General features: G+C 40.9%; 1 protein-coding gene across 13 annotated transcripts in view, besides 2 other annotated features; it reads right to left on the bottom strand.

Annotated features, from left to right (window-relative positions):
* The window catches only part of MYO1B (myosin IB), a 179,983-nt gene that overhangs the window by 155,101 nt on the left and 839 nt on the right, over positions 1-24,043 (bottom strand). For 4 of the 13 annotated variants that reach the window (XM_047444410.1, XM_047444412.1, XM_024452914.2 and 1 more), the window contains exon 2: positions 22,278-22,391. The exons of 5 other annotated variants lie outside the window; for them this stretch is intronic. In XM_047444410.1, the coding sequence (XP_047300366.1) occupies positions 22,278-22,328 (51 nt within the window). In that variant the 5' untranslated portion in view covers positions 22,329-22,391. Of the gene's footprint in view, positions 1-6,897; positions 7,007-22,277; positions 22,392-23,918; positions 24,003-24,043 lie in introns of those variants that run through there. 4 more of the 13 variants (XM_005246572.2, XM_047444413.1, XM_047444415.1 and 1 more) reach the window with 3 other exon arrangements.
* Positions 13,969-14,263: a silencer, noted in NCBI's record as "tiled region #1767; K562 Repressive non-DNase unmatched - State 24:Quies". NCBI's record gives its function as "represses a minimal TATA promoter and a strong SV40 promoter by Sharpr-MPRA in K562 cells {active_cell/tissue: K562}" and the evidence as "EXISTENCE:reporter gene assay evidence [ECO:0000049][PMID:27701403]".
* Positions 22,078-22,871: an enhancer, noted in NCBI's record as "NANOG-H3K27ac-H3K4me1 hESC enhancer chr2:192112141-192112934 (GRCh37/hg19 assembly coordinates)". NCBI's record gives its function as "activates a minimal SCP1, AML or CMV promoter by ChIP-STARR-seq in naive H9 embryonic stem cells {active_cell/tissue: H9 hESC(naive)}" and the evidence as "EXISTENCE:reporter gene assay evidence [ECO:0000049][PMID:30033119]".

The raw sequence follows: 24,043 nt of genomic DNA, 5'->3' as shown, positions 1-24,043 counted from the left end.
CATCCTTATGCTTCGGTCTAAATCCTTTTGAACTTATTAGAATCCTTTTGAAAGCTCCTTTTTACAACCAATGAATTGGCCACCTTTCCTTGTTTTGTAAATTTTGATATGTTGTCTCAAGGTAGGAATGTGACATCATTCCTCAGGAGCTGAAATTGTGGCGCTGCATCCATAATGCCCCCACCACTTTTAAATTCAGCCAAATTGCATGGCCATCTGCTCCTTTATTCTTACCTTCTCCTTTACCCCAAATTAGCAACCCATATTATCGACAGCCTGCCTACCAATCATCTCTACCACTTGGCTGTGTCTAACAGCTCAACACATTTCCAAAATTTGTATCAATCATCCCACACCAAAATATAAAAAACAAAACAAGAAAAATCTTACTCCCTCTAAATTCCACAAAATAACAATTGATCCATCCAGGTTCTCATCCTTGGCTTCTCCCTGTCTCTTCCTTCCTTCCCACATATCCAATCTGTCTCACTGACTGTATCACCTTGATTAAGCTCACTTCTATCCCTTCCCCTCAAGAGCTTTCTAAGGGGTCTCTCTGCCTTGTCTCGCCACCACAGCCTTGCCAGCCCTTTCCTTTTCCCCAGCCCACACCACCCAAGTTACTTTTTCAAATCACAATCTGATTAGGCATAACCTGCTTCAAACCCTTCAATAACTCTCCAGTGCCTTTCAGCCAGCATTATGATTCTTTAGCAGAGCCTCCAACAAATTAAACACAGACTCCCTACGTAACCGAGAAATTCCACCTCTGGGTATATACCTAAAAGAAGTGAAAGAAGGCACTCAAACAGATGTTGGTACACCCATGTTCATAGCAGCATCATTCACAACAGCCAAAGGGTATAAGTAACCCAAGTGTCCATCAATGGATGAATGGATAAACAAAATATGGTACATACACAAAATGGAACATTACTCAGCCTTAAAAAGGAAGGAAATCCTGATACATGCTACATCAACGAACCTTGAGGGCACTAAGTTATGTGAAATAAGCCAGTCCCAAGAGTAGAAATATACGATCCCACTTATATAAGGTACACAGAAAAGTCAAATTCATAGAGACAAAAAGAATGGTGGTTACCAGGGGCTGGGAGGAGAGAGTAATGAGGAGGTGCTATTTAACGGCTACAGTTTTAGTTTGGGATAATGAAAAATCTCTAGAGATAGTGGTGATGGCGGCACAGCAGTGGGAGTGCACTTAATGTGACTAAACTGTACACTTAAAAAAGGTTAAAATGGTAGATTTTATGTTATGTATATTTTACCAAGTTAAAAAAGAAATTCCTTAGCAGAGAACACATGATTCCACAGCCTTTCTCCTTAGTCCAATCTCTCCCCTGCACAGTCCCCACTTACACACACACAAAGATGCCAAGGCCTGCCACAGCACCTTCAGCCAGACCACAGCTAACTGAGTGGTGGGTATACACCAGCCCAAACAAAGCTTCCAAAGATCTGCCAGCAGGACACAGACACCACAGTCAGGTGGCTGTGGGCAGCAGAGCATGGAGCTCATAGAGATCCAGGGAACAGCTATCATGCGGGTGAACCTTCCCAGACTCCTCCAGAGGAAGCCTATCTGAAGAGAAGAATGAAGCATGGTGACAGACCATGGCAGGCAGACAGAACAGCTGCCTTTGCTGCCCAGAGTGGTTCTAGCTGTAGGCCCTCGAGAGGTTCCACTGAGCCTCTTGTCAGACATAAATACCCCCCAACTTAAACCAGTGTCAATAACCATTCCTCATAGGAGACATGCTGTGAGCAAGCCAAATCTTACGGACTGAATGCTTGCGTCCTCCCAAAATCTATTATGTTGAAGCCCTAGCCCCCAGTATGATGATATTTGGAGGTGGGTCCTTTGGAAAGTAATTTGGTTTAGATGCAGTCAGGAGGGTGAGGCCCCCATGAAGAGATTGGTGTCCTTATAAGAAAAAAAGAAACCAGGGTTCGCTCTTTCTCTGTAGTGTGAAGACACATCAAAAAGGCAGCCATCTGCAAGCCAGGAAGAGGACCCTCACCAGAAACTGAATCTACCAACAACTTGATCTCCCACTCCGCAGCCTCCAGAACTGTGAGAAATAAATGTCTGTTCTTTAAGCCACCCGGTCCATGGTATCTTGTTACAGCAGCTCAATCAGACCAATATGCCAAAATACTTCCCTTCCCTCACAATTGTGAGTTTGTTTGTCTGCTCTTCCCCTGGAGAAGGGAGGTTTAAGTTCTCAATGTGCACAAGCCCCATGCCTAACAGCGTGGCTGACACACAGGGCTCTGGTGTGTAGAAAGAAAATGAATAAATAAATGCATATTAGACAGGCACAGCCCATTCTTCTGTCCAGGACGGTTTCCATCATCGCTACCCTTCCACTCCAGGTCATAACTGGCAAAGGACCATCAGAGAGCCTCGATGACACACCAGGAATGTCCTCATGAAGGATTAAAGTTAGAAACCAAAGGACAAGACACTTCCTTAGTATTTACCAACCAAAAACGCAAACTGGGTGAAAACTGGATTCTATAGGACAATTTACTCAAGCAGCATTATTCTCAAAGGTGATGGGGCTGGTGGGCCACACAGAACCACACGGGGTGCCCTGCAGGGCTCCCTAAAGCATTGGAGAAAGTGAGTGCCCCGACATGCATTTGTGGAAAGACTTAGGTGATGGCTGATTTTCATTCCTACCTACACACTTGCTTAAAGATATTTATATAAGGTGTGTCTATTCATGGCATTTACCTCACCAATTATAATTCTCTCATTTTCCAATCCTTAAATTCACTGTGAAAGCCAACTATATATTGAGAAACCCCTCACCTCATTTTCTCTAAAGCTTTCTGCTGAAAATGTCTAATGGAATGCTAGTAGGAGGGCTTTTGTTAAAATCTTGGATTATGGAAGAAATAGGCACAACTACTGGGCAATTTCCATATAGTATGTTGTTGACTTGTGTTCAAATTCTGGCTAATACAAAGGACATGAAATTACCAGGCAATGAAGAAATCCAATAGATTTAAACAGGAAGTGAAAACAAACAAATGGATAAAAGCAAATGGAAGCCCATTTGCCATACCTGACTCCAACCTTAAAAAGCTGTGAGTGGGAGGGGCTATTAATTCAACATTCTGGTTATCTAAGGGTTAACACCCTAGGTTTTGTCTCTGCATAGGCAGAGAGGGACAGGCACCACCAAGATCAAGGTCTGTTTCTGTCTGAGTATAGAAAAGCTGGCCTTACATCAATAAAAGTCATCAACAAGGAGATACCCTTAATCAACCACCCTCAATCCCAGGCACAGGCCAGTGATTAAGGACTGAAAGACAGCATCTAGAACCTTACAATTTGCAAACTGACGAGAGGGAAAAAAGTTTTTTCCCAACTGTGTAAAGTGAGAATGACAAAATATACCATCTAGACTAATTAGAAGAAATTGAGTCAAAAATAACAGCGGCTGCTATAACAACATGGAAGGTTTTGGATTACCAGTTACCAACTCTCACTTGTGACGTAAGGGCAAAATTTCTAAGTGCCTTTGTTTATAATTAAAGAGCAAGGAGAGAGACCTTAGAATCCCAGGCAAAACCTTCCTTTAAAAAAGAAGGCGGTGGAGCCAGCTGGTTTCTAGAAGAGCCAGGGCGAGGATGAAGCTTTTCTGACGGGTCTGAAAATGGTCTTTCACACCTATTCTATTACATATACCCTTCAGTCTAATTCCTAAATCACCAAGCTCTTCACAACACTGCACCATTTTTCAAAGAGTTTTTGCTTCTATATTACAGAAGGCTTGCAGCAATAGTTTACCACCAAGGATCCTTTCGATCCACCCCATTGTGGTACGGCACAGGCTGTGGAGCCACAGACCCAGGCTGGAATCCAAAGGAATTCATCTCTGGAATTCAAATTTCTAATCTAAAAACTCAGGGATGACAATATCTATTCCACAGGGCTGTTATGTAGCCTGACTGAGAGAGCAAACTCATTAGATGAATTTCTCCCTCTCCAATGCCCCTTTCTTCTTCTCACCCTGAAGAGCTTACCTACTCTTCTGTCCTGTCTCCTAGCAGGTGTGTCCAGGTAACTAACCTAGTGAGTTACCTCATTTGCAGTTGATCTTACATGAGGTTTAACACCCTAAGGAGGAAATGCAGCCAACACCACTGTCCCTACAGTCATTTCCCGGAGGAAGCTCTACAGAGTCATGGCAGGAATGGCTGCCAAAGGGCAGGTCAACTTCAGAGAGCACACACCCCACTCCAAGGCTGGGTCTGAAAGTCATGCCCTGCCTCCCTCTCCACCCCCTCAACATGGACCCCCCACCTGCCACAACCCTAGAAGGTCCAGAATGGGCAGCATGCAGCCCAGCTGTAGGGGAACCGGTCGTCATGCTATACAGCTCACAATGACTGGAGAATTAATGAGCTAACGTCTGAAAAAAGGCTACAAATTCCTGAGGGACGAGGCAGCCAAAAACTATAAACCGCTGTTACATCCAGAAACACAAACTCAGCTGTACAGGGGAACATGCTAATTATAACGCACGGACTTTTCAATGCGTTCCTTCGAGGCAGATTTTAAAAATTCCAAGAAGTCAATGTGTTTAGATTGGCAAACCTGAGACCCCGGAACCCCTAAGTGAACGTAAAACTGTTCAAATATAACTGGCACACCCGACTCTGATTTGTTCCTGGTGGGTGCACAGACGCCAAGAAAGACTGGTGATTACTGAATTGAATATAGCCACCAGAGGAAAACCAACTTCCCTTCCAAATGAATCAGCTTATTAATCAGAGGGTCTCAATCTCATTCCATGTGCTAAGATCCTCAACAAAGTCTTACACCACTTGTAGATTCATTCCTCTGTTCTCTTTATGCCTGATCGGATCATGCAATCACTCAAGGTACACCTTCATTATAATTAAAAATACAGTGATTTGCACCTGGTAGGCACTCACATAGGGTTTCCTCTACCCATTAGTTTTGGAGGCCACTCCGGATTGGTTCTGAACAAAGACACTCACATAAAACAGCCTGGGATACACTATGGCAGAATGGCCTTCTTTAAAAAAAAAAAAAAAAAAACAGGGGCCTTCCCATCGTTCAGGCTCTTTTAGTGACAATGGAGAGAAATGTACTGAATTTAGTGCACTATTCTTGTTTGTAGGTTAAGGAAGAAAATTATCCCTCCAGAAAACAACAGCTTTGGCATTCTGCAACAGATCATAGGTTACAACGACTACTGCAGTGGTTCTGGAAAAAACATCCACAAGATCCAAGTTGCAGGCCCAGCTCTGCAGCTAGCTCACAGTGAGACACTGGGCACACTGCCACCTTCAAGCCTCAGTTTCCTCACAAAGCGTATAACACATCATCTCCTAGGATCTTGTCCCAGCTTCCAACGCTGTTGATTCAACAAAAAAAAACAAGGCTCAACTCTGGAAAGACTGAGTTTGCTCATTCTGGGATGAGCATGCATCCTAGATCTGGTTATAGAGAATGTTAAAAACCAAAAAGCCAGCAAATGCCAGACCACAAGAATCTCTCTCAGTGACATTACTCAGAGGCAAAGGAAAGCAGCTCTCTTTATTCTGATCTCATAACCAAAATAAAATATATTAAGAGTGCAACCATACACAGCACAGAAAGATGCACAGAATAACCAGGTAAGTTAGGCCATCAAGGCACATTTGAGCATGTTTTCTGTGTGTTTACAATACATGGTTAGCTACAAAATGGAACTGGCTACTTTTAAAAATTCACCTAGTTAGGAAAGCAAAAAAAAAAAAGTCTAAAGATTACAAATTAAGTAATCTACATGTAAAGGAGGGGAAAAAATATGCATCACTCAACAGTGAAGCTTTGGTAATGCCTTCATACTCAAGGTTTAAAAAAGTTTTTTAGAATAATAAAAATTCAGAAGCTTCCTCAAGCAGTAATCCACTAAAATAAAGTCCAATAAACTATGTAAACAAAGGCAGAGATATTTATACATTTACATTAGGATTTCATGAATGTTTATTAGTTGAGAATTGATCAAACAAAAATAGCTAAGATGTTCCAAAAAAGACACTGATAATGTAAATTGAGAAATAATTTTTAAAGAAAATAGCTAAACTGCTGCAGTGGGTTATTTCACCTACACTGATTAAAATCAACAATTATATTAGAATTTGGAAACATTTTCTAGGTCAATTTCTGGTTTTTCTAATGTTGGAAGCATTCCTTTTAAAATCAAAGGCACCATAATTCTTACATATCCTTAAATACATTCTGAAGTATTTATGAAGAACAAAAGACACTACAAACAAATCAACCTATAAGACATGCCATAACTAATCATTTTTAAGTCACAAATAAAATGTTTACTGAAATTTTTGTTTATAAAATTCACATTTATAAATGTTAACTAAATTTGAATAGTTCTGCTAATTTCCAAATATTCTACAGGATACAGCAGTTACTTCATATATTTATATAAGGAGACATACTGACAACACCCCCACACACAGTTTTTTCTCCTTGAATACAGCACATGTTAATAACCTGTAAAGCTATAGGAAAATCCATTTTTAAAGTTAATTACCTTGACCACGTATGGAGCAATAAAACAAATTTTCCCAAGAAAAGTTTTGGTAAGAAATAAAACATACAATAGTGAACTACCTTGTAGAAACCCGATTAAGAAAAGTTAACTTCCTTCTACAAGTAGTTTATCAAAAAAGGGGCTTTCAAAATACATTATTATATTATAAATCATCAAAACTTAAAATTTACATTTCTACCCTTACGTCTGTCTCTCAATAGGTGGGTAGAAAAACTAGAGTTCTTTTTAAATGACAAAATTATAAGGCCCCTCTGGTTTAGAAATTAAAACTGCTTACCAACTTTTCTTCTCCATTGCTTTTTCCACTGATTTAACTAGCACTTTAGCCTTCAGTTCATATGAAAGAGAGAGACAAACATTCGTTGTGACAGGGAGAACACACTAAGTACAACAAATATTTTGCAAGCAGATAAGAAGGGGAAAGTAGGTCAATATCCTGTGGCTAGGAAGAGGCAGCCTCAGCTTCCATACAGGGCTGTTTTATATGAGTTAATCATATAAAGTTGATCGAGAGTCCATCATGGATACATGCTGGACTCTTCTGTTGACAACCTCCCACTCTGACCCATGCTACTGGTATACAAACAGTACTTAGCAGGCAATGAAAGAAGAAAGAATGAGAGACACATCTACTGCTTCTCATGCATGTGCAATCTAACTGAGGAAAGAATACTTAAGAGTAAGATAACCAGTATAATATGTTCATATAGGGCAGGCGATTCACCTCAAAAGGAGGAATATAGAGATGAACATTTCTGTTTAGAGGTACAGCTACTATCATACAGCAGGAGAATCACAGAAGGATAGCTGAAGAGGTGAAACTCGACCATGAAAGGTGAGTTGGATGTGATTAAGCAGAAAAGAAGTTTAAAGCAAGAATAAAAAACATATTCAGAAGACGGTGACCTGGCAGAATGGTAGCAGAGGACGGCCGGTATAGGAGCCTGATGAACAATGAAGCTGGGATGAAAGGTAAGCCAAGGCTAGACTAGGAGTCAGACCTAAGGAGCTCACAGGTGTTAGAGTGGTGGGAATGGGTGGGCGGGGAGAGAGAAGCATTACATAGCCTAACCAGCGCATCTGTGCTACAGTCATTACTTATGTCACACATCAAGATGGCAACAACTAAGGCTCAGAGTCACTGGTGATGGTCCCATGGAAGATAAAACTGAGGTCAGCCACTACATACAGATGACAGGGAGCCACCAAAATGATTTTGAGCACAATAGAGACAACAAATTTAAAGGAGGCTTAAGCAGAGGATGGGCAGTCTGAATTTGTTGGCAAAGCGACTAAATGCAGGGAGGAGGACTGCTCTGTGCAGTTGTTCAGTTTGTGTACTGCATAAAAGTGGGCCAGCTGGGGAGGAGGGGGGGCGGCAGAATAAGGTGACTAAAATAAAGTTGAGCTCCTGTGGGATTGTGTCTGCCCCAAAGAGTGCCTTTTTCTCACTGCATACAGGCCCTATACAAGACAGTATATCAAGGAATTCATCTGGGGCCCCAATCTAGTAGTTGAGGAACAAGAATTAGGATAATGCTAATGGAAATGAAAAGGAGATGTGCCAAGGGAAATCACAGATGAGTCTATCATAAAAGGTGGGAAACTAATTTGACAGAGGTGGAAGAGAGACAGGAGCGTTTAAGACTAAAGTAGAGGTTCTCTTATCCAAATGCATAAGGATTGACAATTTGGCTTATTTTTTTTTAAGTCAGTTAAATTTGGAAGTCATAAAAAATGATACATACCTAAACAAGTCATTTTAAATGAAGCTCTACAAATATACATTTATTGTCAATCTTTTGTTATAGTGCTGGAGCCTTTTCTTTGAGTATATGTCCACTGTTGTACTCAATGGTCTTTCTTCTATAAACCATCCCAAGGCATCATCCTCCAAGTCCAATTTATTTAAAGAACAGTGAGGTTCTAAAGAGCCCTGGAAAGTGAAGTGCGGTAGACCTCATTACCCTTTACAAATGCCCCATACCCCTCTCTACGTCCCGCCTTGCTGAATTCAGGCATATAGCCAATAAGACCTTTGCAGCAGGCGTCCCCTCTGCCACAGGGACCAGCAACGTTCCAGAAGGTACTGCCCCATCAGACTGTGTTCTGGAGTAAGGTTAAGGACAAATGGAGCAGAGTCCCCATCTGATCCACAACGGACACACAGTGTGAACATGGGTTACTGCTTTGAGCCAGTACGATTATCGAGTTTTACATAATCACAACTTAACCCACCAATCATGAATGACTGATAATATCAGTGAGGATACTTTTATTTTATGATCCCCCAAATTTTTTACTTATCTCAGCCACTCCTAAATTAGCTGCAGTCATTTATGGAAATTCATTCTTATCAGGTGATTTCCAAAGAATTCAAATGAATTTTCATAGAAACAACAATTCTTTTGGCACACATGTTTAAAATCATTGTATTAAACTATAATAAGTACACCGGGCACACGCAGGTCTGGGAATTAACACAGTCAGGTCTGGAGAAGCATTCTTCTCAACTGGTGGGAAAAGAAACTCAAGAGCACACTACAGGGTAGCCCTCTAGCTTGGAGCATTAGTGTATCTATGGCATCGGCTGATCCACTTTACAGAGAAAAAGAGAACACCAACAAATCCAGCAAGTCTGGAAGTCAATAAAAGCTTAGACTGTTTTCTAAAGCTGTGAGTCTGGACAATCATAAGAATGAATAGTACTATGGTATTACCAGGTTAAAAATCTGGTTGGCTTTTCAAAAGTATATCCAACTACCATATTTATTCTGATCCAAATATATAGTCATAAGTGCTTAAGTCATTTAGGAAAGCACAAAAATAACACTTCAAATCCACAACCAGACATAGAGTCAAGAGTACAAGGTCACATGTCATTCTATAACTTGGCTCTTAAAGATAGAAAGAATAAACACAGAAATTACTATTAAAAACTAAATTTGAGTTTCATAATTTAAAATTACATACTTCTTTAAAATTGTCAACACAGACAAATGTTTCTCTGAAAAGGAATATCACTCTCTTGAAAAAAGCAAAGGCTCCCAGAAAAATCTGGGTGCTTCTATTGTAAGTAGCTAAATGGTAAATCCATTCATGATTGACATACTTTTAGAAATCTGACATTCACTCTCTTCAAAAAAAATATGTTCTTTTGTGTAAAAATGATATTGATATATTTCAATAGACTACTAAAACACTGTGTAAAGACATATACACCAGAAACCCCAAAACAACCAATGTTATGTAAACATATACACACCAGAAGCCCAAAACAACCAAAACAGTTTAAATAACACATACATACAAGTCAATCCTGACCCCAGTACCATGCATATAAGGCTCCCCACTCAGCACCAAATAGAATAACCTTAACTTCTATATAGCTTTAATTCAAAAAAAAAAAAAGCCTATCTGGGAAAAAAGTAATATTATACCCTCCAAAATAAATCTGCCCCCAGGCTCTACAGGGATAGCTACCCACTCAATCTTATTTTAACCAAAGTAAGCTCTTGAAAAGAAAGGAAACCCTGGCTGTCCACATCCCACCTCCGGACACTCCTTATTTTCCTTAGTGCTTCTCCATTCTCTACTTGTCACAGAATGATGTTCCCAGAGTTCTATCCTCCGCCTTCCTCTTCTCACTCTACCCTCTAAGCAATCCTAACATTATCCACAGCTTCCACCACACGTAGCTGCCCATGATCCCCTCATCTGAACCCCAGGCCCTGGCTTTTCCCTAAGCTCCGGACCTTGCATTTCAACAGTCCCTGAAGCTCCCTCACTGCCTGAATGCCCCACATCCCAAAATGAACCCCTCACTTGTGGCCCTGTCTATGCAAACCATTCCCAACATCACACAAGCCAGAAACTAGGGAGTTATCCCAGACTCCAACTCTTTCTGCCCCACCAACCAAGTCACTCCATCCATTACCTGATTACATCAAAGAGTTCACAGCAATCTTTGACCCAATCACCTCGTTCTCAATATCTACTGTCAGAAAATCATTCAAAATATAGAAAAGGTTATAGGTACAAAAAGGCTCATCACAGTATTATTCACAACAGCAAAGTGGCAGAAGGAATACAAATGCCCAAAAATAAAGGGATGCTGCAGAAAATGATGGTACTCAATGGAATAATACACAACTATAAAATTTATTTCAAATACTATGTAGCAATATAGAAAATGTATGTACTCTATGATTATGATCACATTTTAAAACATTCACATAAAAAGCCTGGAAAAGAATATTCAGAAATGACCACAGTTGACACTTTTAGAGTGGTAGGCCCACAAACATCTTTTTAAACTCCATTTTCCTGCATCCCTTCAGCTGCTGTTCAACCTCCTGCTACATCTGTTGCAATACCAACTCAAACTCCCATAAAATAAAGTTTCCCCCTAAATCCTATTATGCTTGCAGCCCACGGCATGAGATCTTCAAAATTGATTAATTCTTTCAAGAAATCCAACTGGACATATCAACAGCTGCAAAACTGGGCTCCCAACATCTGTGGGGGTTATTAACTGTTCTAGTCAGAAAAGTTCACCATGCACAAGCTGCTGCCAAGACAGCAAACGGTAAAGCTGGAAGCTAAATCACAGAGTAGGTGAAGTCGACTATGTATCTAATGTCCAGCCTGGCTCACTGCCTGCCAGGTAAGGAAGGGGCATTTTCTCCATCCGAGTTGCAGAAGATAGTCAGGTACTACAGCCCAGGGTCCATGAGACACAAAAAGGTCACTTCAAAGGACATAAATTAGTACAAGTTTCCTTTAACATTTTACCTATACCTTTGTATTGTTTTTTAAACTGGCAACCAGTGCTAAGTATTAAGACTGGGCTGGCAGTTCTAGCATTATGTGTTCCATGCTCATGCCATACCCTTGGCATGCCTAGGCTAAACCCAACGACTTGATCCTCCTCCACAGTATTAGTGTGTATGAAGTGGAGATACAAGGTCATGCCAACATCATGTAGCTCTGTGACAAAAGCAAATAAGCAGCTATAACCGCTGCCCTACTCAAAAAGGGGATATAGTCACACACCACATCTGTTTCTGTCAACAACAGACCACACATATAATGGAGGTCCCATAAGTTTAAAATGCAGTTGAAAAATTCCTATCGACTAGTGACGTCATGATGCAATTACTTTGTGTTTTTATAAATTTAGGGTAGCCTAAGTGTACAGTGTTTATAAAGTCTACAGCAGTGTACAGTAACGTCCTAGGCCCTCACATTCACCCATCACTCACTGACTCCCCCAGAGCAACTTCTGGTCTTGCAAGCTCTATTCATAAGTGCCCTAGAGAGGTGTAACATTTTTTATCTTTTATACCATATCTTTACTATTCCTTCTCTTTGTTTAGATACACAAATACTACTGTGTTATAATTGCCTACAATATTCAGTATGGTAACACGTCTGTACAGGTTTGTAGACTAGGAGCAATTGGCTATACTTGTGTTGGCTGTACCTGTATACGGTTGTCTGTCCCATCTAAGTTTGTGTTAAGTCCACTTTGTGGTGTTTGCGCAATGACAAAATTGCCCGATGACACACTTCACAGAATGTATACCCATCATTAAGCGATACATATATTGGTTCTAATTTAAAAAATTCCTATGATGTCTTCTTTTGAAAAAACCAATGCTAAGTCTAGGTATACACATTTTATAAAACTAGATTTTACTGTAATTGTCCCAGACTTCCTTAAAGCAGAAAAAGAACTATCATAAATATTTATGATATGTTCAAATTAGGCATTTGTCATTGAAGATAAAATACCTAAATTGTGGAATAAGGTACAGAAAGGCATCACCTTACTTCCGTTTATTTAAATGTCCTCCACTAGATTTTACACTCAATTGTGTAGCATCATTAAATTAGCAATATTCCTCATGTAAACAGCTCTTCAGCTGATAGCAGGTAACATTACTGTAACCCACTACCTTCTTTCAAATCTATGTCAGCATTATTTTTAAGATACTTATAAAATGCCACTGCCAAGAATAAATTCCTGTAGATAAACACACTTTGCAGGAAAGTCCATTTCTCCACCCACAATTACATAAAAAGAGCAGCATGAAAGAAAAGCTGGAAAGTTCGCTGAACTTTTCAGTGATTAAAATCAATGGGCTTTTGAAGAAATTTGTCAGATTTGGCATGGTTTCTTTGTAAAAATGTATTTTGGTAATTTTCCAGAATTCTGTTGGAAAAGTTCAAAAATTCTGACATATACCAAAATGGCAGCAACACAGATAACCCTATGCAAAATAGGCAAAGAGGAAAAATTTAACTTCAACATCCCCTCAATCTTCCCTTCCTTGCAGCCACCCAATCTTCCAAGATTCCTGGTGCTTTTAGGAGGTCACAGACCCCCAGAGTTCATTAATTTGTCAGCAAATAAATTAACTAATCAATTAATTTAGGTGTAAGTAAGTAAAGGGCAACTTCATTTAGATTTCTGAGAGTGAAAAGTTATATTTACTTATTTTGACAATAAAAATAAAACTGATGCTTTATTTTGAATTGAATAAATGGGTGCATAATTTCTGCATGACAGTAGGTAAAGAAGATGGATTAAAAGGAGAGACTTTCAAGGGGAAGGGGGAGGAAGAGGGGACTGAATGAGAGACATATGGCAAGAGGACCACTAAGGGAGCACAGAACAAACAAAAAGGGAAAATAATGACAGATTAAAAAAAAAATTCACAGAAAAGGGGGATTCACAAGGAATAGCCCCATCTTCTAACTTTTGGGGATACTTCTGCTAAAGACTATTCAACACCGTTACCTAGTTTCTGCAACTATAAGCACAAATGGGAAGGTACTTCACCTGTGAATGCCACTAGAGCAGGCCTACCCCTGGCTTCTCACTCTCTCCTGTCCCTTTTTAGCAAACCAACTGGAGACCGCCAGCCTGACTTTTCTTTCTTCAAATAATTTTATTATATTATTAGTACAGAGGTAACATAACCAGGTTATAGAAGATTTAGAAAATAGAGAGTTAAAAGTAAAAGTCACCCCAATCTATTATCGTAACACAATCACTTAACATTTTGGTTTCTTTTTTTGCCATCTTTCTCCCCATATTTTCCAAAGGGGTCCCTCGTATGAAATCCTAAATTATGTGCACTGCTAGGATTCAAACAGATTTAAATATCTGGTGTGGGGGAGGAGGAACCCCAGGAAAGCATTGCAGGAAAGGCTGAATAGTAGTAACTAACATCTACACCAAGTGCTTGCTCTGTGCCTGACACTGTTCTAGGAGCTGCACATGTGTTGATTCATTTAATCCTTACTATAACCCAAAGAAGGCAGCTCTGCAAAATTACCCACATTGCGCAGATGAGAAAATGGAGGCAGACCGTTTAAGCTACAAGCCCAGGGTCCGGGGGCTACTAAGGAGAAGAGTCAAGTTTCAAAAACCAGTATTGTCTCCAGAGCCCAGCCCATAACCACTGCACCACATAGCTTTTCACTATACAGAGGACTTATCTCAACTAAGCTCAGTCATGCCTGCCCCAGAGCAATGCTTCAATGACCAAACAGAGCACAGATTCTAGGCAGGTGTGTAACTCAGTTTGGATCCCATCCCATTGTCATGCCTGAGCCCTCAGTGTGTGTTTAAGAGACAGTGAAGGAGGGAGAGTGGAGAAGGCTGAGACACTGGAAAAAACATAGAAGGCCCTGCTCACCACCCCTCCCAGGAAGGGCAGAGCAGTCTTCTTCCGACCTGACCTGACCTGACCTTAAAGGACCCCGTCTATTAGTGCAGAGCTCAGGAGAAAATTGCTGAGCAGGACGCTCGTGTCCAGCAGATGCCAGGACCCAATGGCAGCAGCAGTGGCAATACTCAAAATGCAGAGGGGGTAGGGGTGTGGGCAGTGGCCCCATTCAAGCCTCACCATAGAGGCAGCTCTCTGAATCTAGCCAGCTTCACTTGGCAGGATGAGGATATACTGATAAAAAATAAATACCTTCACTTTGTCATAATAGTGTGTAAAACACTGTTAAATACCACTATTATGATAATTTACTAAGAATTAATAACTTGATTTAAGTCATCAGTCACTAAAATTCCCATCTTTGTGTCATTCAGAGTAGAGTCCCACCTTGGGGCTTCTGAGCCTCTTTTTATTGCCTACAAAGTTCTTCCATCCTCCTCATTCTTTAACACCAACTCATCCTTCAGGCAGCTGTGTGAATGTTTATTTCCTAAGTCAGGCTCTCCTTGTACCCCAATCTAAATTTCCCTCTCTCCGCCTTTCTGTTTCTCACAGCCCCCTGTCCTTTTCCTTCACAGTATCGATGCTAATCCACGAATACATATTTATCCGTGTCCATTTCCACAATGTCTCTTCCCCTTCACATTCATGAGAGCAGAAACCACATCTGTTTTGTTCAACATTAAAGATTCAGTACAGGATGGGTGTAGTGCCTCATACCTGTAATCCTAACACTTCAAGAGGCTGAGGAGGGAGGATCACTTGAGGCCAGGAGTTCAAGACCAGCCTGGGCAACATAGAAAGACCCCGTCTCCACAAAAAAATGTAAAAAATGAGTGGGGTGTGGAGATGCTGCCTGTAGTCCTAGCTGCTTGGGAGGTGGAGACAGGAGGATCACTTGTGCCCAGGAGTTCGATCCTGCAGTGAGCTATGTTCACACCACTGTACTCCGGCCTGAGCAACAAAGAGAGACCCTGTCTCTAAAACAAAAACAAAAACAAAAACACAGTACCTAGTACGGTGCCTGAAACATACTAGGCACCTAAACATTTGATGAGTTAATAAATGAACACATTAAATAACTAAAAGTCACCCCTTCCTTACTTCTAAAAGTACTGCATATAATTTTTAAATTAGGTCAGGTGTGGTGACTTACACCTGTAATCCCAGCACTTGGGAAACCAAGGCAGGAGAACTGATTGAGGCCAGGAGCCTGGGACCAATGAGACATCACCTCTACAAAAAATTTAAAAATTAGTTGGGCATGGAGGCGCACACCAATAGTCCTAGTTACTTGGGAAGCTGAGGTGGGAGGCTCATTTGAGTCCAGGAGTATGAGGCTGCACCGAGCTACGATCATGCCATTGCATTCCAGCCTATGCAACAGAGCCAGACTTGTCTCTAAAAAAAAAAAAGAGGCCGGGCGCGGTGGCTCACGCCTGTAATCCTAGCACTTTGGGAGGCCAAGGTGGGTGGATCACCTGAGGTCAGGAGTTCGAGATCAGTCTCAACATGGAGAAACCCCATCTCTGCCAAAAATACAAAATTAGCCAGGCGTGGTGGTTGCATGCCTGTAATCCCAGCTACTCGGGAGGCTGAGGCAGGAGAATTGCTTGAACCTGGGAGGTGGAGGTTGCAGTGAGCCAAGATTATGCCACTGCACTCCAGCCTGGGCAGCAAGAGCGAAACTCTGTCTCAAAAAATAAATAAATAAATAAAAATAAAGTGAATTATGACATTTTCAATAAAGGCTAAGTTATTTTATGCTGTATTGGAAAAGCCACCCAACTGCAGGCTCCCACAGCAAACACAGGTTTAGATGTGAACTTGATCAATCAAGAACTATTTATAAACAAATACAAAATCAATCCCTTTCTTGTACACCAGCAACACTAACCAGAAATGTACTAAATCATTCATTCAAAATGACCACAGAAACCATGAAGCACCTTGGCACAAATCTAACAAGCGGTATGAAAGAGTTTTACATACAAAATGATAAAAATTTCATTGAAGGACATAAAAGAACTATTAAAGAAGCTTATGAGGTTTGTGGATGGGAAGCCATTAAACCATAAAGATGTCAATTCTCCCTGAATTTCTATTTAAATGCAACACAATTTCAGTAACACAAAATTAAAGAAAAAAGCCCCACAAGCAACAAGCTTGTTGAACATATGTGCAAGCTAACCTGTGGGGGGAAACAGAGGAGAATGTGATGTGCATGTGATGTGTCAACTGACGCAAATATGGAAAATGGAATTTTGTGGGAATTCCAATAATTTAACCATATGAATGTGTAAGGTTACTTTCAACATTTCATTGTGCTTCAAATATTTTCTTTTTTTTTTTTAAGTTGTGAAACAGTTAAGTTCAGAAGAACAAGCGCAACCTGAGTCTGGGAAAACTGACAGAGAAGACAGGCACAAAGCTGGGCACTGAAAGATGTGCCAGTGTGATAGGGGAGAGGGGCTTCTGGGGGGAAGGAACGATCCAGAACAACAAGGTAAAAGCACAAGACACAGTTGAGAGTGAACCAAGTACGGCTCACATGGAATGCACATTCCCACAGGAAGCCAGGCAGTGACAGAACCTAAAAAGCTACAGTGAAGTGACTATAGCAGTGTTATCTACGAAATGATCCCCCCAAAACGTGGTACAATGGTGACATAAGTTGGGACAAGTGAATACTGTATCTTTCTCTTGGGAATTCACAGTACACAGTCACAAATGAAGGCCAGGAGAAGTCTTTCTGCAAAGAAACTTAACCAGCTATTCTAACATGTACCTGGCCAAGGAACCCTTTTTACAGGAACATTTACCAACTTTATGGGTAGGGTATTTTTTTGTTTTTTGTTTTTTTTTCCAACTTACTAATTTTTTATGGAACAACTCACTTTGGGTAACACTATACTCCAGTAACTCAGCCTTTTAAAGGTCTGAACCAGAATGAGGGCTTGAGGATTTGCAAAGGGCAAAAGATAGGGGAGAACAATAAATCAGACATAGTGACTGACAGGAGGAATGTAAGGGTCACAGAAAATGGGGAAGTAGGTGATGCTCTAGAATCCAAAGTCAAGATGGTGATGAAAAGGCTATTAGCACAAACAGTGAAGTGAAGTCCACAGGGGACCAAGTATTAGGTAAGAGGTAATAAATTTAGATTTCGACAGGTTTGGAGAGACGGATATCTCCCTAGAAAGAAAACTAAGCAAGAGGTTACAACTTGGAGTCAGTTTCTCAGATCCGTCCCCTGTTAAATTTAGGAGCTGAGCAGGTCTCAAGCACAATGAAGGGGTTACAGTGGTGACCTTTAAGACACTTTTCAATAGCAACATTCTGCCATTCCAAAAATTGAAAATTTGAAATAAAAATACCAATATAATCAAGTTCTATCTTTAAAGTGTGAATTGTGTGAATGCAGGATAAAAATAAACAATTCAAGATGAATTTCAGTACATGGATAAGAGGTTTTTAAGAGATCATGTAATTACAGATACTCAAGAGACATCTATGAACCTTTACAAAGCTGACATCAGGAGTCTAACTCTATTTTCCTTCCTGAATGTCACAGAATACCTGCAGAGTACTACGGCAAATAAGCCCTGAACCTGACCAACGTGGCAGTTCATACATTTTTATGAATAGCTCTCAACACTTTGAAAATTTCAGGCAAGCGAGAACTTTTTCATAGATGGCTCACTATATCAGGGGTAGCTCAAAACTGTGATCTACCGATTATGACTAGAAGCAGATAATATGAGGATCACAAAAATAACAAGCCATGCAAATTGGCATAGGCCCAATGTCTATGAAAATTAAGCTTTTCCTTAAAGCATTTAGACTGTGGGTCTAAAATGAATAAAACAGTGACCAATCACTCTGAAGTACTTTTAAGGGAAAAAATGATCAGTTAGGAAGCTAGTATATTTGCAATCTGAACATCACAAATAGCAATTCAGGATCTAATATAAAATGTAAAGCAAAGCAGCAATGATGGAGAGAGAAGGTGTACACTGGAAAATGTTAAGTGGGACCAGCAGGAATCTTGCAATTAAGATTCTTTGTGTATTTTGGGGGAGCTTTTTGTTGTGGTTGCAATGTGAAAATGCTTTCATGTAACCAGTGAAAATTAAGTAGGCAAATGACGTGTAAATGTATTATAATGTCGATAACTAATAATCTGTTCCACTGTCCTTTCAATTCAATTTTCTAAAAAGTCTTTAAAGATATTGCATTCTTTTTTTAAACAAATTTAAAAACCTGTAATGTACAATTCTGAAATACATTACTATATTTTCATTTTAACACAGCGAACTTAAGCCATCTGTGCAATCTTAAAGCATCTTGAGTCCAGGAAGAATTGGACTGAAAGTCCCCGGAAGGCAGAGATTTGGTTTCCTCTTAAGCCTCTCTTAAGCTATCAAGGAAAGACAGGCCCCTTGCATTTTCAGAAACTTATCAGGTGCTTATCTGATAAGCAAAAGAAGAATGTCAATTTTTACTTTTCTGCTATTTATAAAACTGCCTATCTTGGAAGAGTACAAATTTCACCCCAACTCTCTTCCCAAAACCCAGCTCTGCAATGGCATCCACACCGCTTATTCTCACACATCAAAGATCTGAGCGAGCTCCAGGACTGGATGCCCTGTGGCATGCTGCTCGCAGGCAGACTGGAGACCAGAGATCAGACAAACGCCCTGAAACTCCCAGATGACAATCTATTCCTGAAGATAAAGGCATGGCCAGCAAGGGGGTAAGAAAAGGGACTGGCTATTCAGTCTCTCACTAGCAGGCTGAATCTTGTCTCCCTCAGCTGGGGAAGGAGAATGACGCAGGACTGGGAAGCCAAAACACCCAGAAAAGGATAAACTGAGAAGCAGTTCAACCAATTCTCCTAGCTTTGGACCAGCCAAGGACACCTACAGGAATCCTGACTTCAGGTGACAAAGGAAACAAGCCAGGAAGGAGAGGGACAACAGCTGGGCTCTCCCTCTAACTCCTTAAAAAGAACTCCTTAAAAGTGACCAAAGCATCAAAGTACTCACCCAAAGAATCAAAGTTTTTGCCCAAAGCTCCACAGTACTCATTCAAAGCTTCACAGTACACTCTACCTGGTGGCACTTCGTTGTTCTGGAAAGCAAAGGGGTCTTTGAGGCTTGACCTCTGGGCTAGTGACTCAATTCCCTCATCTACAAATACCTCCTACTAAGGGATAGTGATGAGAAGGAAATCAACCTACAGAAAGTACCCAGCATGAGGCCTAGCACAAAGCAAGCACCCAATACTTAATAAACAGTAGCATGAATAATATCATATAACTCAATGTGAATGACTCATTCTTTGGAGATTTGGCATGTCTTGTCCACAAGAGCCTTTTAAAATGCAAATATGCCTGAAGTCTATTAACAGCCTTAGTTGACAGCCACATTGAACACAGGATGAGGAAGGGATGCTGGCAGGTGTGTAGAGAAGAGAGTTGGCGGAGGTACCAAGGACCTGCCATGCACCAGGGAAGACACTGCTATTCAAACCTTCTCGCATAGAATGGTAGTTTATATATCATTTTTTGGACCTCAGTCAGGGTTCTGAACCTGAACGCTTTCACATCATTGGAGATTGGAGGAAATAAAACCTAAGTCAGAGAAGCTGGCACCTGTGTTCAGTTTTCTTCCACTCTCTTGCTTCTGTTTGTTCTCAGCTTTTGTCTCAAAAGCAAGTGTTCCCCTGGTCTTGGTCACTACAGCTGTCATAGCCATTTTCTTCATTTCACCAACATCCACTCTTGGGATGCATCCACCTGCCCTGCTACAACGACCCTGAAAGCACAATGGATTTCCTTTCTTCCTTTTAAAATGGGTCTAATGCATTGTCTTGCATGACCTGTGTGCTTAATAAAATATGAACTGATGAGGAAGAGGCTGACAACTGCAAAGACCTACCAAAGGCTGTAAGAGTGTAATGCTGGGAAGCATCCTTTTTCCTCCTCTATGCTGCTTATGGTAAGTTGGAAGGTGCTCACCTGTTAGAGTTTAGCAAACCATGTGTCTGCCTCTCCTCCAGAGGCAAAAGTCTAAAATAGCCAGTGGAGGAGAATTTCATAGCCTGAGGAGACTAAAGTTACTCTCACCTATACCACAGAACTTGAAGACCCCAAATGGTGTCCTAGCTTGAAATAAATAAACAAGGCAGAACTTCCAGTCTTCAAATTCTTATCTTAGAAACAACAACAACAACAAAAACCTAATATTGACTTTTCCATTTGCCCAGGAGCATTCTGAGGAATCCACAAACAATCCATGATGCCAAGTGTTAAACTCCAGTCTGCTCCTGTACTTGGTGTCAAAGTCTGGTACCTCTTGCCCAGTGCCACTCTCAGTGCCACCCTAAGGACAGATACCACTGCTATTCCCTTTTCATGCAGATGCCTAAACTAGTTCACTTCCCCTGTGGGGAAGGGATGAGCACAAAAATCATGTGGAATGAGTGTTCCCACAGAGCTCAGAAATTTGATGATCTCAGAGGATACTGTAAAGAAAGACCCTTGACACTTCCCTAAGGAAGAATGCCTTCTGTAAAAGGCTACTGCCAGGACAAAAAGCATGTGCTGGGAAAAATCTATGGCCTGCTGCTGCGAGTGTTTCCAATTCTGATGTCCCACTTCCTCTTTATAAGCACATTCCTTCCCTCCTTATTTCTCTTCTTAAAAAGACACTCTGGCATCGGGTCTCAGTTAAGAAGCAAAGTGCAATGTTCTATTAAAGGCTGTAAGATAAAAAGGGCTTAAAATGGATTTCAATAAACATAAAAGCCTTGAGTGCAATATAAGATCTACTCTGTTCTACCACTTTTAAATGTTTCGAAAAAAGAACTTATTTTTAAATGTTGGCAACCTAACTTTTTAAAAGTAAAGTTTCATTCACTTACAGCTTATTCATACAGGCCATAACATACAGCTCTTTAGCAATACAGTTCTAAGAGTTGTAATGTCCTAACCTGGGCTTCCAAACCTATCTCACAGTGGTTTTTGGAAGAATCAACTACAATAATAGACGTGAAAGTAATTTGACATCTGCCAGGGGCTAACCAACTAGATAATCAAACTGTTGTTATTATTAAAATACATCATACCATACAGTATATACCTAAAGAGTATGGACTTTGGGATCCCCAATCGCACTTCCACCACTTAGTAGTTAGCTACACAAGCACAGAGGGTCCTCAATTTACAATGGTTCAACTTAGGATTTTTTTACTCTATAATGGTGCAAAAATGATAGGCATTCAGTGGAAATCATACTTAGAATTTTGAATTGTGATGTTTTCTGGGGCTAGCCACATGTAGTACGATACCCCATCACAATGCTGGGCAGTGGCAGCGAGCCGCAGCTCCCAGTCAGCTACACCATCACAAGGATGAACAACCAATACTCTACAGTGGACTGTGTTACCAGACGATTTTGCCCAACTGTAGGCTAATGTGACTGTTCTGGACACATTTAAGGTTCGGTAGATTAAGTGTATTAAATGCATTTTCAACTTACAATATTTTCAACTTATGATGGGTTTATCAGGACATAACCCCATTGTAAATCTAGGAGCATCTGTACGGTGTAAGGGGCAAGTTACTTAACTCCTCCAGGCCTCAGTTTCCACTGGAAAATGAAGATAACACCCACTTTATCAAGTTGTTGTGATGATGAATATAGTAATGTATGTAAAATTCTTGGCATGTAATGAACACATACTAAATGATAGCTATAATTATTGTTAGGCTATTTAATTAAAATCCAAATGTTCAGCTATTGAAAACAGTAGAAGGGAGGTAGAAGACAATCTTACCCAAAGGAGGACAAATGCTAAAAACATGGATGCTACATGCTGAAGATCCCTTCTTAGCCAAACACCACCCACTCACCTCACTCCCTCTTCTTCCCCATGATGTCAGACGTTCCTCCTTGCTTTGCATAACTGTGCAGCAATCAGGGTAAGTTAGTCTTTAACTCCAGGCTTGACAAAGTGATGATTCATCCTGGGAAGGGGATACAGCCTGTTGCCAGCCTTATCACACAATCAGGCATCCACCAGAACGGCCAGAGGCCAGAGACCAGAGACCAGCCACTTAGGATTCTGCTATCTGTCCACATCTCCAGTAGCAGCAATGTTCAGATGCTTTACATTTTGTTAATGTATAGAACAATGAGTACTTGAGAGGAATTCAATCGTGTTGTATTTTATAAAACAATTCACAGCATAAGTGAAAAGTCCAAAATGGTAAGACAACAACAACAAAAAGTCTCCCTCTGTTAGCTGCCCTAGCACAACGTTTTGCCAGGCAGTGTGTTAGTTCTAATGACAAACAGCTTGACAGTTGGACACCATCCCATTTCAACTTCACATCATAATGGCTCCTGAGGACAACTCCCAGTGCTTTTCAGCCTGGCCTGAAAATTTGACCACATCCCCCACGAAAAAGACAAACCCTCAGCAGTAGCTTATACAGCTCTTTTCCATTACCACTTAGTGGGCAGGAGATATTTTTTTCCCCCACAGCAAGCTCCTAATTAGCCTTCTAAGGTTAAGAGGCTTTCAAACTTGGTTCATCTCAAAATAAATGGCCAAAGGGGTGGTTTAATGGCGGACCCTCAGCTTGTCAAAGAGGCAGCTCTGGGCCACTTCCCAGCCCTGTCTGCAGCCAGACTACTACAACAGAATGTCTCCTAAATTATCACCACAGTAATGCTAACCTTCAGTCCGACTTTGGGAATCCTCCCACCAGTGTCCCACAGGCACAAACCATGAATGCCTGGAAATGTCAGCCTCCTCCCAAAACAGTTTTGCTTGGAATACCCCATTCAAAAAACACACATCATTCAATCCCCCATAGCTCCCTCCCTAGGTCAGCCAATCCTTTGGCGAGTCTCGATTCCAATCTAGGAAAGGTCACTTAACAAATGTCTGACACATTACATTTAATTCTACCACCTCTAAACGATCCTCACACAGAGAGTGAAAGCACAGAACACTTCAATGCCAGGGCTCCTCAGTTCAAACCCCAAACGCTGGTGTGTGTGGTGTGTTTCCTGGGACAGACTGTAAAAGGGTTTTTCAATTGTGTTACATAGTCTGATTCATTTATTTATAGCAATGTCTAATTTTCTGGTGGTTTCTGCCCTCAAACAGTCCTGGAAAACTGTTGTACTATATTATACTATAAAACAATTTTACGTCAAAATTGATTCTATAAAATTTGTCTCCTACCCATTCCAGCCAATATCCACTAGCTACACACACAGACCCAGAGGCACACACATACACACCAATACCATAGTTCATAGCAAAATTTTTTCAAATCTCAAAAAAAAAGGGGGGGGGGCTTCTTTCACTGTAACTAAGAAGATTTGCTTTGAGCAATCTAACATTGGGAACGCCTAGAAACTCAAGAAGCACACAACTTGTTGCAGCAATAAACGCTGGGCCGAAGCCTGAACAAAGCACTACAAATAAGCTCTAGAAACTCACATGGCCCTTGAACAAAATGTTGTGTGTTTGTAGTTACCTCTCCAGCGCGCTCTCATCACCCTCTCCCAACCCTCTCCCCAACTCTCTTCCCGGCCCCACCACCCTTCGTAGCTCCCGTCTCTAATCTGGTTTCCATTCCAGCCCCGCCCCCTTCCCCTTCCC

Source organism: Homo sapiens, chromosome 2 (genome assembly GCF_000001405.40).
Source record: "Homo sapiens chromosome 2, GRCh38.p14 Primary Assembly".
NCBI classification, from domain to species: Eukaryota; Metazoa; Chordata; class Mammalia; order Primates; family Hominidae; genus Homo; species Homo sapiens.
This window is presented reverse-complemented; position numbering and strand designations above follow the sequence as displayed.